The 15,797-nt window shown below is 41.8% G+C and overlaps 1 protein-coding gene and 1 long non-coding RNA gene across 37 annotated transcripts in view; one reads left to right on the top strand and one right to left on the bottom strand.

Annotated features, from left to right (window-relative positions):
* Positions 1-1,459, bottom strand: part of ICA1-AS1 (ICA1 antisense RNA 1) — an 81,057-nt gene extending 79,598 nt beyond the window's left edge. The window contains exons 1-2 of the long non-coding RNA NR_125740.1: positions 1,265-1,459; positions 858-1,104 (exon numbers count right to left, since the gene is read on the bottom strand). This is a non-coding gene — a long non-coding RNA (ICA1 antisense RNA 1). The remainder of the gene's footprint in view (positions 1-857; positions 1,105-1,264) is intronic.
* ICA1 (islet cell autoantigen 1) overlaps positions 1,129-15,797 on the top strand; it is a 149,372-nt gene continuing 134,703 nt past the window's right edge. For 19 of the 36 annotated variants that reach the window (NR_146928.2, NR_146926.2, NR_146927.2 and 16 more), the window contains exon 1: positions 1,517-1,590. Coding sequence is in view for 1 of the 36 variants with exons in the window: in XM_024446740.2 (XP_024302508.1) it covers positions 1,528-1,684 (157 nt within the window). In the remaining 35 variants the exon portion in view is untranslated. Of the gene's footprint in view, positions 1,245-1,516; positions 1,685-15,797 lie in introns of those variants that run through there. The other 17 variants (XR_002956426.2, XR_002956427.2, NM_001350825.2 and 14 more) reach the window with 2 other exon arrangements.

Genomic DNA, 15,797 nt, shown 5'->3' with positions numbered 1-15,797 from the left:
TTTTTTTTATAAAAGCCAAATATATATAAGCAATGCTTTTCTCTCTGAAAATTTCTCCTGAATCTTAGCTTTTCAACAATTTGCTATTTTGTAGACCATATTCATGATTTGTTTACTCATACACACTTACTAAGGAGATGTTTACTCAGCTCCAAAATTCGTGTTAAGACTAGGACAGGCTCAAATCTATGACAAACAGAATCCCCAAAGAATAACTTTAAAGGTTATGTAAATTTCTGGAGGTATCTTATTATCTTTCTATTAAAATGTCAACATATTCTATACTTTTTCTCCATCCATTCTGGCAAGACACCATGCTATCTTGAGATTAAGCTAAGTCTCCTGGTTCAGATTCAAATCCCTGCTCAATAATCTCTTTATGGCACTCTGGGCAGTGTCTTCATCTGTGAAATCGGGATAATGATTTTATCTACAGTATTGGGTTGCTGTAAGGATTAAATATAAAGCATACAGCATGTGCCGGACATAGAGCTAGCACTCCATCCATGTTAGCGCAGGATTTCTGATTCGTCAGCATCATTACTCAATAACTATCATTCGGCCCTTTTAAATTGTTTCAGCGACGACTGAATGAACTTATTTATAAATGTATAACATAACTAGGGATGAAGTCATACTACATTGAGGTTTCATTTCCACATAGATAATATTAGGAAGCAGCTATGCCAACACTTTTTCTTCCTGTGATCTGTATACTGCAGGGTCTCTAGAAACAATGGTTTGGTTCTTTCCTGGTGACAAAGGATAAGAGAAGATGAAACTGCTACAAATGGCAATAACTTAAAAATAAAAGATACAGAAATATATGGAAATGAAAAACATATACCTATACATACACAGCTGTTTTTAAAACATGACCTTTATTCTCGAAGCTCAAACTTGATTTCCAGGTACAGCAGGCCTCTGTAACTTTTCTTGGCAGTGAAGTCATGAAGTCTCCTGTCCTCTAAAGCTACAGAAATTTAACCTGGAAGCAAGCAGTAGGCACTACGCACAGCACAGAGGGAACCCTGGGGTGTACGCTGTGGCTCCCACCTGTCCGCCAGGTCATTGTGACGCAAACGCTATGGCCACGTGGAACACCTGCCGGAGAGCAGGGGCGGGGTCACTCTGGGCGGCGGATCCGAGCGGGGGATACCCCAGGAGATGGGGGTCGAGGAGAGACCCCGGGGAGTAGAGAGAGAGAAACTCACTCCCCGAGTCCCCGACCCTCCCCAAGCAAGGTGAGGTCAACGCCACCCACCTTCCCCCGGTCACCCTGGGAGGGGTCGCTCCGGCGGGCGTCTGCTGGAGGGTAGAAGCGGGGAAGGGAGGCAGCGGCGGCGCCCAGGCGGCGGTAGGTAGCCGGGCGGCGAGGGCGCCCGCACCCCCCGGCCGCTGCGCTGCGCTGCGGTGCGCACGGGCTCCGCCGGTTGCTATTCCGGCTGGTGGCGGCCGCCGCAGGAAGGGCCGGTTCCTGCGCTCCCCCCGCCCCTTTCCCTCGCCTTCGGCTGACGCTGACGTCGGATGAGTGATCCGGAGGGACGCTCCGACCGCGGCCGGGAGGCTCCTGGGGGCCGGGGCTCCGAGGTACCTGCCCTCCGGGGTCGGGGCGGGGGCGCGCCGGGCGGGCTGCAGGAAGCAGCAGGAGACGCCCGGCAGCCGGGACGGTCGGGGACGCCTGGTAGGAGCTGCCTTCTCTGCCCTCCGCGGGCGGCGCGTGATAGGCGAGTCGCCTCCTCGGGTCCCGGATCCCGGTGCGGGAACCGCATCAGCCCCTTCCCCTCCCCTCCTCCCTCCGGCCTGGGAAGGTCTGGAGGATGCGCGCGCCGTGAGAGCGTGCGTCAGCCCCGGGGGAGCGGTAGGGAAGCGTTCCGCGCTCCGGCCCCAGCGCTGGGAGCACCGGCACCCATGCCAGCCCACCCCACCCACCCACCGCGCGCCTCGCCTTCCCGGCGGCTCCGGCCCCAGGACCCCGAGCTCCCTGGTGGGCAGGGACTTGCGTCCAGGGTTGACTTGTTGACAAGTTCACCTGCCGCGGCGCCTGGTGTGTGCTTTTTCTCTTCCCCTCCGTGGCCCTTTTTTTGGCAGGGGCGGCAGAGAGCATATGGGTACCTCTTTATAACCACTAGTGCCAGGAGGCCTGAGCTTGGTCCCCCGGGGGCGAGGTGCTCAGCAGTCTCGGACTAGACGGGGCGAGAACCCCTAAGCAACCCCGGTTCCAGCAAACCCTGGCGCGCCCGTTTCCTTTGGGCGCTGCTGACTCCGCCTTTCCTGCTCCGGGGCTATTGCAGCTCCTGCTTCCTCTAGAAACGAACATATCCTGTTGTTATGTCTGCCTTTCCCCCAAAGCGGCTCTCCAGGAACCTTTCCCACTGTCTTTTTACTTGTAGTACCCCCAAAGCACCTGAGCTTCTCTTTGGGGTCTTAAAAGTATCGCGCCCTTATTCTGGCGAAGGGCATTAACTGCCTGGTTGGGGAGAGTTAGTTTGGAAAGAATCGCGTTCTCTTCATTTAGATGGCATTAAAAAATTAGCGCAAGAAAGGGTTTTGTTCATGAATCTTAGTAACCGAGATCTGGTAACGGTATAAAAATTATCAAGGCCTGGAAAATATGTCACCAGCTTGCTTGGGAGTGATACTGAATGTAGGAAGAAAGACACATAAGGCATTTATTGGCCATTAAGGTCCTATAAAATATGACTCATCGCAAACATGTTTTTGTCCATACGTTTCAGTGAAGTCTCTTCGGAAAATCTCAAATTGGTTTCTGTGGCCCTCTGGTTTGAATCTGAGATCTGAACTGTTCTGTGGTTAGGGAGTGAAATAAGAAATGCTTAGTTTGAAATCTAGGCTCCCGATGCAATTTCATACCCCCTGTTTAAAACACACACTCTCTAAAAATGCTTTTAAGTAAGTTTTCAAACCAAAGATATATTTTTAGATTTCAGTCTTTATTTTTGAAACACCCTTTGTAGAGAATACCACAGGGACAAAATCAATTTATAATCCTGAATAGCTCAAATATCACTCTTTGGTTTTATACTAATACTGTACATACATCTTAATTGCAGGAGATGTTGCTTTCTAATTGTTTCTGTTTGTATTACAAAGGGAAATAATTGTACTGTTTATAAAGATGAATCTTTAGAAAACGTAACAGTTAAGCTACAGCGGGCTATTTGTGGAGAGACCTGATGTTAAAAAACGTTAACCCTGTATCCTCCACCCGTGGATCATTGAGTGCTAAAGATACTGGATGGTAATTGCCTGGGTGGTTTATTTTGTAACTATTTTCCCCCATTTGGAACACCTGAGTAACTATCTGACTGCTTTCTCTACGCATCTTTACCGCAGTGCATAAAGATCAATCTCACGAAAAGTATAGAAAATTTTGTTACTCAGAGCCTTCAAAATCAGTACGTTTTCAAGGTATTTGACTAAATAGTACATTTTTTTCAGGTGCAAGCAGCATTAGCGGTATGGAGGTCTGGTAGTTATGCCATAACGTAGAAGGATAAACCTATGTTTGGTATGAACTTTTAAGATTATAGAAACCTCATGCGAGAGAGGGAGGAAGTTAACAGGCCCCAAGTGTCAGGATGAATTTTTCCTCTTCGTTGGTTGAGCCTGAGGGTAGGTGGCAGTGTTTATAATCAGCACGCTGGTCACTAGTGTCCTTTTTTTCCATCTGCATTACTAGATTTATGGGAACCATTAATAAGGATGCTATCTGCATGTTTTGTCCATGAGGCAACATAGATCACTAATGAATCTTATCCCCCAACCCCACCACCATTCGCAATCTGCCTCAGCAGAACTTTAAACTCAAAAAACACTTTTCCCCCGCTTTTTTCTTGATTCCCAAGCTGATACATTTCGTATCACAATCATATCTAACACTCTGAGGGAGTATGGAGGACTCATGGGCTTTGGATCCTGATGGAGCAAAATCAGAATCCCTGCGGTAACACCTAACTAGCCGTGTGACCTTGACCAAGTTACTTAAGTCACCATTTCCTTATCTACAGAACAGGAATATCCACCTTTTTAGGGGCAGGGTGGAGATTAGAGATAATGTATATAAAATGCTTTGCACGCTTTTAAATAGGACTCACTCAGTAGTAATAAATTATTTTTTCACATGCTAAACATATGCTATCCGTATCTAAAAAGAATGCTGCTGCTTTGCCTGTGATAGGAAGTGTATTTCAATTTGGTTTTGAGTAGTTCAAATAATTTTGTACCAATACTAAGACCCTGGGCTTTATGGAAAACACTCTCTGAAGTTGGGGGGTGCAACCAGAAACAAAACAAATCTAATTTGTTCCAGTGGGGATAGATCTTCCAAGCCCCTGTCACTCAAACGTGGTCCATGGACCAGTAGCATGTGGCCTCCCCTGGGAGCTTATTAGAAATGCAAAATCTTAGCGTGCCTGCTACTCTCTTCCAGACCCAGTGAATTCAAATCTCCATTTTAACAAGATCTCCATGAGTATGTTAACATTTGAGAAGCAATGCTGTAACCTGTTATTTCTCAAACTTTAGTGTCCCAGAGAATCATTTGGGGGCTTGTTAAAATAAGTGTGGATTCCCGGTCAAGCTTCCTTCATCTGCTGTTAAGCAACATCTCAGGTAGCTCTGATCCCTAGGGTCTCCCACAGACTGTCCAGCACACTACTCTAAAATGAGCCTCTGTCCTCTTCCTTCACAAAGCACTTTGGCAACTATGATCTTATGTGATACTCAACCCCCTTTGAGATAAGTAGATATTATAATCTCCATCTGTCTGATAAGGACTGCAGGCATGATTTGCCCTGGATAGATGCATATGGTAGAACTGCCTTGGAGCCTCTAAAAATCCTGGCTGACCACACTTTCACTATTCTAGCAATTTACTATTTAGTATTATAGCATCAAATTAACATAGTTTTTGTTTTTTGACCTGTAAGTAATTTTCACAAATAACTAATGAATCTCTCCAGGACAGGGAAGACTACATGTGATAGGGCATTTTATACCTGTTTTTATAACAAAGCCTGCCTACTATGTGACTGTAGGCCAGTTGCTTAAGATAACTGAACTTAAACTTCTTCGTGAAATGAATATAAATCATTATGTCAACTTGGCCGTATTGCGAGGATACTCCGTGATGTGGGTGAAGCATACACCCCAGTGTCTGAGAAGTGGCAGTTCCTCAATTAGTGGTAACTCCTTGTCCCAGTGTAAACCTAGTGAGCTAGAATGAGTTCATGAAAAGGTGGGGAAATGATGGCCTGCATCACTCATGATGGGAATCATCTGTCTCTCTTGCTAAGTCAGATGACATCATCCATCAGGCCTTTGACCAAATCAGAGAAGTGGGATGACTTAGTATTGAACAAGCATTGGTTGTATATGTGCCATGAGCTACACACTGTGCTAAACACTCAGAATCCCAAGACTCAGACCCCACCATGCTCTGGAGGAGCGTACAGCTGAGTAAAAGAGGGAAAGAGAGGAGTCAACTAACCAATTGCCTTTCAGGGAAAGCAAGAAGGAGATAGAGACACAGGTGGTAATGCAGCCCAGGGCGGGGGCATCCCACCCCAACAGGAGAAAGGGCAGAGAAACCCTGAGATGCTTCATGGAGGAGATTGCCCTTGAGTTGAGCCTGAAACAACCAGTAGGAATTCAGCAGGTAAATAAGGGTTGGGAGTGGGGAGAAAGAGCGTTCCCCACTCCCAACCATGTGTATGTGTGTACAAAAGTCAACAAGTAAGGGAGAGAATGCTAATACAAATAGTCCTCGTGTCTGGAGCCCAGTGTCTATGTGTGTCCCTTACTAGCTGAGTGGCCTTGGACAAGTCTGATCATCTGTGATTCAGGAGGATTAGATGCACTAATTAGTGTAAGCACAGGACTGATTCTAAATATTCGTTGCATGGTTGTGGAGGTGGTGGAGGTATTAGTAGAAAATAGGGGACTAATATTAAAAAGTCATTAGAATCAGAGAACATTGCAGAGTTCAATTTTAGAATACATTTAGCAGAAAATACATGAATTAAGAGAGGGTGACTGAATGCAATATAGTTCTGTGGAGTGGAAAATATGAGGTATATGTGTTCAGTGATGGACCACTGAATATATAGATAGTAGTCATTGTTAATTTTAAGAGTCTAGATTGGAGACTAGAAAGGTCCTCTGGTTCTAGTTAGTGAAAGTATTTGTACAAGAAGTGACTCTTAAGTATTGCAACAATGTTCCAAGAGTATACATATTGAAATCCATCTCTTACCATCATCATGATCACACTCACTGCCACATCTCTGTTCCCAGAACAGGGCATAGACATCAGTTTCTGAAACCTAATAGTACCTAGGGGAAAATCCGGTCTTCTCTGTGATATTTCCAGGGTAGAGCATTCTAAGCCAGAAACCAAGAAGCTGATATTTATAAATAGTGCCCCTCTCCTTAGTCATAGGAACCCTGACAACTATCAAGGAAGAAATCAATCAGCAATTGCAGGTTTTGTTGTGCACAGTAGCACTATATTGGCAGTGGATTTGGGCCTAACCCAGCACCTAAGCCTGTGATTGGGGGAGATTGTTTTTATTGAAACAGCCCCATTAATCAAGCTCCTTTCATCCAAGAGTAGAGCAGAGTAGTTAAAAACAGGAGCTCAGAAGTCAAAAGTAAACTTGTGTTTACCAGTTGTTGACTTTGGGTAAATTACTTCGTCCTTCTAAACTTTGTTTCTCACTTGCAAAATGGGTTGATATCCCCTTCATAATGTGTGGCGATGACATAATGATGTTAAGTGCTTCACACATGTAAAGTGCTTGGTAAGTGGTAGAACATAATTATTGCCCCTTGCCCAGCACATATGTACTGAATGGCTACTGTGCTCCAGGGGCCATGCTTGGTGCTAAGGAGGCAAAGATGAACTTGAGGGTCCCTGTACTCATGGGACCTACAGTCTAGTGCAGGAGATACAGATGTAATTAGCTCCTTGAAGGAGAGTACAGGAGTGCAGTGGCACCACCAGTATGGAGCAGTTAACTCTTCAGTGGGGAGGTCTGGAGTGCAAGACCCATGGGGAGAGGGATAGAGACGAGATGTTGAGTTGGGAATACTTCACTGAAGAGGCAACATTTGAGGAGAGTCTTGATGTAAATTCTAAGTTAGGCAATCAGACAAAGGAGGGGGAGGGCATTCCAAGTGGAAAGAATCATCTCAAGTCCTTGAAGTGCATAGTATATTCAGGGAAGCTCAAGCGTTCTGACATGCGCAGAGGGAATAGTTCTATCGGAGGGTGGGGAGGAGAGTAAGATTTGGGGGGAAGGGAGCCAGGATGTAAAGGGGCCTGTGTTTTTTCAAAAAATGTTTGGAATTTCTCTAGTGGCAAGAGAAAGCAATTAAAACATTTTAAGTAGGAGAGTGGAAAAATTTGATTTGCATCATATAGTGATAGGTCGGGCAGTGTTGTAAAGATTGGAATGGACAGGTACACAGATAGCATTGCCTCTTAAGGCCTAAGCTGTGAAGATAGAAAAGATAAGATGCATTCAATCGCTTTTTAAGAGGTAGAATGGAGAGAACCTGGAGACTGGTTGCAAAAGATGAAAGAGGCTGGGTGTGGTGGCTCATGTCTGTGATCCTAGCACTTTGGGAGACCAGGGCAAGAGGATTGCTTGAACTCAAGTGTTTGAGACCAGCCTGGGCAACATAGTGAGAACTCATCTCTACCAACAATTTAAAAAATTAGCTGGGTGTGGTGGTATGTGCCTGTAGTCCCAGCTACTTGGTAGGCTAAGTAAGAGGATTGCTTGAGCCCAGCAGGTCAGGGCTGCAGTGAGTCATGATTGTGCCACTGCACTCCAGCCTGGGCAACAGAGCAAGACCCTGCCAAAAAAAAAAAAAAAGAGAAAGAAGTGAGGTTTTCAACTTAGGCCATTCAGTACATTTAGTGCTGGTAATTAACATAGGGACCACAGAAAGAAGAATTTGAGAGTGCAGATGGAAAGAGGAGTTTAGTTTTAGATGTGCTGAATTTGAAGTGCCTGTGGAACAATCCAGGTGAAGATTACCATCTGGAGGTGGAAATGTGGATCTGGTGCCCTGGAGAGGTGTGTGATTTTGGAAGTTGTTGGCATACAGCTGGCAGTTGAAGCCATGGAAGTGGCCTCACCTAATGAGAAATCACCTAATGAGAGCAAGTAAAGTTCCAAGCTTGGAACCTTACAGATACTGATATTTGAGATGCAGACACAGAGGAAAAGAAGCTAGCAAAGAAAATTGAAAAGATAGAAAAGTGTGGAGAATATTTCCTGAAAAGTAGAGGAAGAGGAGCATTTCAAGAAAGGAAGAGAACGTGGTCAAAAGTCATGAGAAATGAGGACTTGAGTGGGGCCCATAGTGAAAGATGTTCTCTGGGCTGGTGGAGAAAGGAACCAGAGAGCATGGGCTTAGAACTCTTGACTGTGAAGAGAAGGAAGAGGATGGGAACTGAGAAAGAGTTTGAAGAATGAGGCCTGATGGTAGAAGCCAAGGGAGGTTGATTAACATGAAAGAGAAGAGACAGAAAGATGGACTAAGGTGGGCAGGGGTAAGAGTGTAGGAGCTGTCCTTCCTAGGGAGAAGGAAGCGAACAGCAGGTTGTGGTCATGATTCTGGATAGCTCCAAAGAAGTGAGCAGGGGTGCACAGAGAGTGGAAACTGTGACAGAAGGTGCCCAGCGCAGTGCCAAGGCCATGGTTCCCCAGAGTGCGTGAAGAGGGAGACTGCCTGTCACCACCCTGCAGGGTTTTCTTCCCACTGCTCCCTGAAGGCCAGGAGCTAAGTGTCCTGGTGCCTAATGCTGTTGACTCAGTGTTGCCATTTGCAGCATTGGCATCATTGTGAAGTATGTAAACATTGTGTTGTGTTTGTGCTAAGCCACTCCCCACTTTCTGCTTCCTGTTTCTCTCTTCTCTGCACTCCTAACCTGGAACTCAGTACCTTCAAGCAACTTTCTGGGTTTTCTACCTGGTCTGCCCTAGAGGGTACATGCCCAATATCCCTGTCTTTCCTGACCCCCATCAAAATAACCAGTCTTGTGCTTTATAAGCTCTGGGCTTTGCTGCTGTTTATTTCCTGAGAAAGTAGAGAGAACCTGAAAAAGGGATCTTTATTAGTTCTCAAATAACGCCAACTAGATGACCCAGCAGACGCAAGTGTGGTGCTGTTAGCTGAGCATACATGATCATATAGTGCTTTCTTCTGCTGCCTGCTTCCCTTTGCTGCTGACCTCTGAGATCCTTTCTTGCTCCTCCCTTCCCCTGCCTGGACTGCCTGCATTCCCTGCTCCTAAGCCAGCCCAAACTCAAACATGATTTACCTGCCACAGCTTAACCAAGGAAAGTTCTGGAATATGTGCCATTTCCAGATAAAGGAGCTGTGGTGGTTTGTTTACAGGACCCGTGCACAGCATACACATTTTATAAACCACATATTGGTGTCTGCATAGTTCAGTAATTTAAGACTAATGAGACAAATTTTACTCTGTGACTTGGGAAATTTCCCCAAATTTCCCTCAGTTCCTTCAGTGAAAAGAGGAGGTTGGACTAAATGATGTGTAAATTCTCTCCTCACTCTCAGCCAGGAGGTTCTGTGGAGTCATAACAAATTGCTTGATCACATCTTTTGGAGGCTTCAAATTATGAATTTAATCTTAAAGGAAGAGAACCTTATAAACATTAGCATCTCCCTGATTATTCTGATGGCTGATATTATGCTTACGTGCAATTTCATATAATTATAGTCCCCACATTCATACTCTTGGTTCTTCCTTCACACTGTTATTATTAACCATTCATACGTTTCTATGTACATATGAATTAAAGTCATCCCTCTGTATACACAGGGGATTGGTTCTAGGACCACCCTCAGCTATGAAAATCCACACATGCTCAAGTCCTGCAGAGCCCTGCAGAACCCATGTATGTATATGAAAAGTTGACTTTCCATATACACAGGTTTCTCATGCCAGGTTTCTCTCTTTATATTTAATTATAAGCAAAAAATGTACTTAAATATAAAAATATGATTATAAAAAAATAGAAGATATATTTTCTATTTGCCTTTGGTTGAAAAAAACTGGTGTATAGGTGGACCTATGCAGTCCAAACCCATTTTCTTTAAGGGTCAGCTATATATATTTGTGATTTCTAAATATATGTATACATTTTACATTTGTGGATACATATTGTATATATTACATCACATTGTCCTTACATTTTTACTTCTGATGGTCTTATAGTAGCCCACCACTTCACTTACTATTCACATAAATCTAATTTGACACAAATAGTACATTGTGCACACAGATTTGGACCTTTTTAAACTTGTAAAAATATGGAGTACAATCATTTTGTAGGTTATTTCAAAAGAAGATACATATGATTTTATTTTTGTAATGACATCTCTGACAGAATGTCAGAGATTCTGAGCAGAAATAACTGTTTAAGGGTATTTGTAACTAGTACAGAATATTGGTGACCGAAGTTATAGAATTAATTTCTAGCTCTTTTTTGATTTGTTTGATGCCTTAGACTGAGGCTCTCCAACAAAAATATAACAGCAGCCACATATATAATTTAAAACATTCTAGTAGTAAAATATTTTTGGCTTAAAAACTAAAAAGAAATAAGGTGGGGGCTGTGGCGTGTGCCATGCTTATAATTCCAGCTACTCAGGAGGCTGAGGTGGGAGGATTGTTTGAGCCTAGGAGTTCAAGACCAGCCTGGGCAACACAGTAAGACCCTGTCTCAAAACAAACAAAAACTAAAAAGAAACAGCTTAAATTAAATTGATAATTTATTTGATCTAACCCAAAATATTCAAAATATTGTTTCAACGTAAAATATAAAAAAGTAATAAATAAGCAAAAAATATAATTAAATATAAAGCAGAATATATAATATACATATGTAAATATGTAATATATAAATGTAGTTATATAAAATTTAGATATATACAATATATCAACATGAAATAATTTTTATAACTATAAATACATGGATTTATTAATGAGACATTTTAATTTTTTGTTACTAAGTCTTCAAAATCCAGTGTGAATTTTACATTTAGAGCTCATCTGAATTCATACCAGCCGTATCTCAAGTGCTCATATTACATGTGGCTAGTGTCTGCTATATTGGACTGCATAGTCTTAGATGATAAAGTCAATTTATCTGAGGTTATTCTTCCATAAAAAGAAAATTTAAGTTGGTGCAATTCTTTAAAGTAAGATTTGTAAGAGCCTTCCAAGTTTTATAATTTGATCCCAATAAAATATAAGGATAACATTTAGACCTATGATTTAATAATGTTCTGTGCTGACATCGAAGGGCGTAGTATTCCTTCACAGAACTTGATCGAGACTTTTATCTGATTAGGGTGTTCCTTCATTCTTCAGCTTTTGAAATTAAGCTTTTAGAGAAAACACCACCATAAATACAGAGTAAAATCTGTATGTGAAATTTGATTTGATATTTGAAATTTATGTAAACCAAACTAAATAAAATCAAAGGTGAATATAATTTATACTGCAAACTTTTAAAATTACTTTTTTCTTTAGCAGAGGTAACCCATTTGTTCTGTTTCTAGTGTTGTTTTACACTTTATATTTTTATCTTTCTAGATTTCTTTTAGGTTTGTGGTTTGCAAATACCTACCTCTTTGTTATTACTGCCATGATTTTTGGTGTAGCACAAAATTCACCATCGATCATCCTTTGAAAGGAGGGCTTTAAGCAAAAGAAAGAGGAGCAAGACCTAGACCACACTTTTTGTGAGCAGTTTGAGTTTTCTGGTTTGTTTTTAATTTGTTTTACATGGATATAATATTTAAAAATTTTACAATAATATTAATGCTGAAGATGACATTTTAGAAAGTAGCTTGGCAATTTTATTTTGGTTTCTGTTATATTTGATATTTTCCTTTCAGAAACATCTCTTGGAATAGATGAAGAGACAGAGGAGAGCACCAAATTGTTAACTGGCTGATGAATGTTTCATTCCCAGCATTCCTCTATGTGAACTTGACCTTTAACCTGATCTTGGACAAGTCATCTCTATTTTTAGAACCCCAATTTTTTAATCATTGAAAAGGATGTTGTGTTCATTATCTCTAAGCTTTATCTTAGATGTAAATGTCTCTGAAAATAATTTGAGTTTTTTATTTTTGTGACTGGGGGCATCCTAGATGGCCACTTGCCTAGTCTACTGTTTTACAGATGAGCAAAGTGAAGCCAGATCGCTGAAGTGATGACTAAGTGTGTGACATAGTCATGGATTTACCAGCTTTTATTTATATCAAGGAGCATATTGGGAAACCTTCAAAATACATACTTTAGGAATGTGATTTTAATAGTTTTAGGGAGTCATTAAACTTAATCATTGTATATAACTTAATCATTGTATATAACACCTGAGTTCTTTTGAAATGTAAATAAAACAATCATTTAAAAATATCTGGCTGGGCACAGTGGCTCATGCCTGTAATCCTGGCACTTGGGGAGTCCAAAGCTGGTGGATCACTTGAGCTCAGGAGTTTGAGACTAGCATTGGGAGGCATTTTACTAAAAATAAAAAAATTAGCTGGGCCTATTGGCAAGTGCCTGTAGTCCCAGCTACTGAAGAGGCTGAGGTGGGGGGGATCACTTGAGCCCAGGAGGTCAAGGCTGCATGAGCTGTAATGTCACAATTGCACTCCAGCCTGGGCAACTGAGCAAGATCCTGTCTCAAAAAAAAAATTTCTTTAATAAAAGAAAATATCCTAAGACTTTAGTTCATTAACAGAAAACACAGATTTTAACAGTGGCTTGCATCTGTAGTGTTAAAATAAAAACTCACCTTTTAGCTACCATGAATAAGATCACAATTCTGTTTTCCTCTTGGTGATATTTGCTGACTCACAAAATTAAAACATGATCCCATTTCACATTTACTTGTGAATTTATGAAATATCAAAAATCATTGCAGAAGGCACAAAACTGGAAACAGGATCCATTTAAAGTTGTGTAGTCACTCAATCACCCAGGCTGGAGTGCAGTGAGGGGATCAGAGCTCACTGTAGCCTTGTGTGCAGTTGTGTGGAATGCTCAGGTAATCGTGTCCACGTCAAAAATCCAAAAGGACAAGCTGTATGATATCTCAGAGGTAGGAAAAACACCCATTAAAAACTCATCAAAATCGTGTTACTTTAATTAATACCTAGCTTTTGAAAAGATGGAAGGCTAATTGAACTTCCCATCCTCCATGGGAATGCCCATTTCTCAACCACTTGAGAACAGGATTTGATGAATCAGGATTTTAAAAATAATAATTAATATGGTTAATTATGCCTGGAGGAATTGTTCCAGTTTTTTTCACTGCTTCTACTGAAACTATTTTAATATTTATACTCAAATACACTTCTCTCCATAAGAAATTGTAAAAATCATTATTGACATAAGAGGAAGTGACAGAGACAAACATCTAGGAAAAATGATGAAAACATACTTTGCCCAAAAGAAATGCACAGACATCCAATTATTTTTTTACCTTAGTGGCTAAAACCTCTGACAAATCAGTATTTCCCCTGTTCATCAGGCAAGTGGAGGACCCCATGTGGGAGCCCTGGCTCTGAAGACTATTGGCTTTGTGCTCTCAGGCCGTGTTCCTCCCTGGATCACAAGTCCCATTTCAGAAGGAAGGGGCTTTATTCAGTTCTTCCTCATCTCTTTCTAGGCTCTAAATTATATGACTTCTGTTTTTTCTGAAGTTACACACCAGAGAAATAAACCCAAATACCTGCATCACTTCAGATCATTTGAAAAGAAATAGTCAGTCTAATAAACTGAGTAGGAGACACACATTTCCACTTCTCTGAAGAAAAGTTCACTACAATTGAGTTCTGTAAAATTATTGCATGATGTGTAAGTTTTAGTGTATGGAAGAACAAAATATTGAAGACTGGTCATATTTCCAGATGAAACTGATCTCTGAAATAACAGGAAAATGGAATGAGGAAGAAGTTACGTAAATTAGTACCATGCAATTGGAAGCTAAATCTGAGAGACATGTCACCAGCTTCCAATATTTGTGATGGATAGTCCAAAAACTAACTCCCTAACAAAGGCAGGACAAAACATGGTGCCCACCGAGTGTGAAATAAACAGCATTGAATGTCCATCCTCCAATGGCTAGAGTATATCTAAATGCTGAAGGTGGCACATGGTGCTTCAGAGGCTGGCCCCTCTGTTTCCCCTGTTGCGTGTCTTTAAATTATAATGCACAACTGCTTACGGTTAGTTACACACACCACTGGCAGTTCTGCTGTGGAAGAATTTGTTCACTGCATTTCCTCTGCCTAGAATAATACCACTTCCCTCCCCACCGCACTTCCAGCCTTTGCCTCTCCAGCAATGACTAATTAAGTCTTAGAGACTCAGCCCAGAGGCTGTGTGGGAAGCCAGCATTGTGCCTCTGTTCTGTGCCCCTCAAACCCTGGCAGTTTCCTCTGCCATGGCATTTGTGCCCCATCACAGGGAGCCTGTAGCATCTTCTGATGGCAGATGCTTTTTTTCAGTTATATACAAATAGCCGCAAAAGTCTGGGGCACATAGTGATTTATAATTTTACTGAAGTTTGATTTTAAAGAATTACTCTGCATTTTATCATATATAAAAAACTATTGGTCAGGAGGTCTTACCATTTATATTCCATGAAGAAAGAAAAATGACTGACAGTTGACAAGGTAGTGACTCTAACACAGTGATGATAGAATATGAACAGATTTGTACCGTAGATTGTATGGCATGTGGTGCTATGAAGCTGGTGTTTAGGAATGAGTGATTTCACTATGGGATGTTTCTAATGTACCACTTTGCACCCACATCATTGCCAGACTCTGTTCTGTTCTGAAAAGTGTGTGTATTTTCTTTTCTTTCGAGAGGTTGAGGGAGTGGTGGGCATCTTACTCTGCTGCCCAGGCTGGAGTGCAGTGGCATGATCTCAGCTCAATGCAACTTCCACCTTCCTGGCTCAAGCGATCCTCCCACCTCAGCCTCCTGAATAGCTGGGACCACAAGTGTGCACCACCATGCCCAGCTAATTTTTTGTATTTTTGGTAGAGATAGGGTTTCATCGTCTGGTCTCGAACTTCTGAGCTCAAACAATCCACCCTCCTTGCCTCTCAAAGTGCTGGAATTCTAAGCATGAGCCACTGTTCCTGGTCTGAAAAAAGCGTTATTTCTTATGGGGGAAAAAATGGCCCCCTACTTCCCAAAGAACTGAAGAGCTCTAAGGTAATGACAATTTTTATCTAGAAAATAGAAATGTTGAATAAACTAAAGAGGAAAATGACAAATTTGGCATTGACTCAGATATGCAACTCAAGAGATTCCACCATATGCTCAGTACAGACAACAAGAAAAAGCGACTCTGGACTCAGTTTCAGCTGGTACTCCAACCAACAGAAAAGCTACCCACTGAATGGAAGAGAAAAATTCTACCACTAAAGTTGTAAAGTTAATTAATTGGAGACATGAATCTTTGCATAAGTAAAATGACGTGCTTAGGAAACATGATTCAAGAGGAAGCCAGTTCCATATTAAAAAGAAATAGTTGATCTAATAAACTGACGAGGAGGCACACATTTCTGCTTCTCTGAAGAAAAATTAACTACATTTGAGTTTTACCAAGTTGCTGCCTGATAAGTTTTAGTGTATGAAAGAACAAGGTATTGAAAACTGGTCAAATTTTGTGGGTATAGAATACCAATATAGTGGAATG

The sequence above is a fragment of the Homo sapiens genome, chromosome 7 (assembly GCF_000001405.40).
Source record: "Homo sapiens chromosome 7, GRCh38.p14 Primary Assembly".
Taxonomy (NCBI): domain Eukaryota; kingdom Metazoa; phylum Chordata; class Mammalia; order Primates; family Hominidae; genus Homo; species Homo sapiens.
This window is presented reverse-complemented; position numbering and strand designations above follow the sequence as displayed.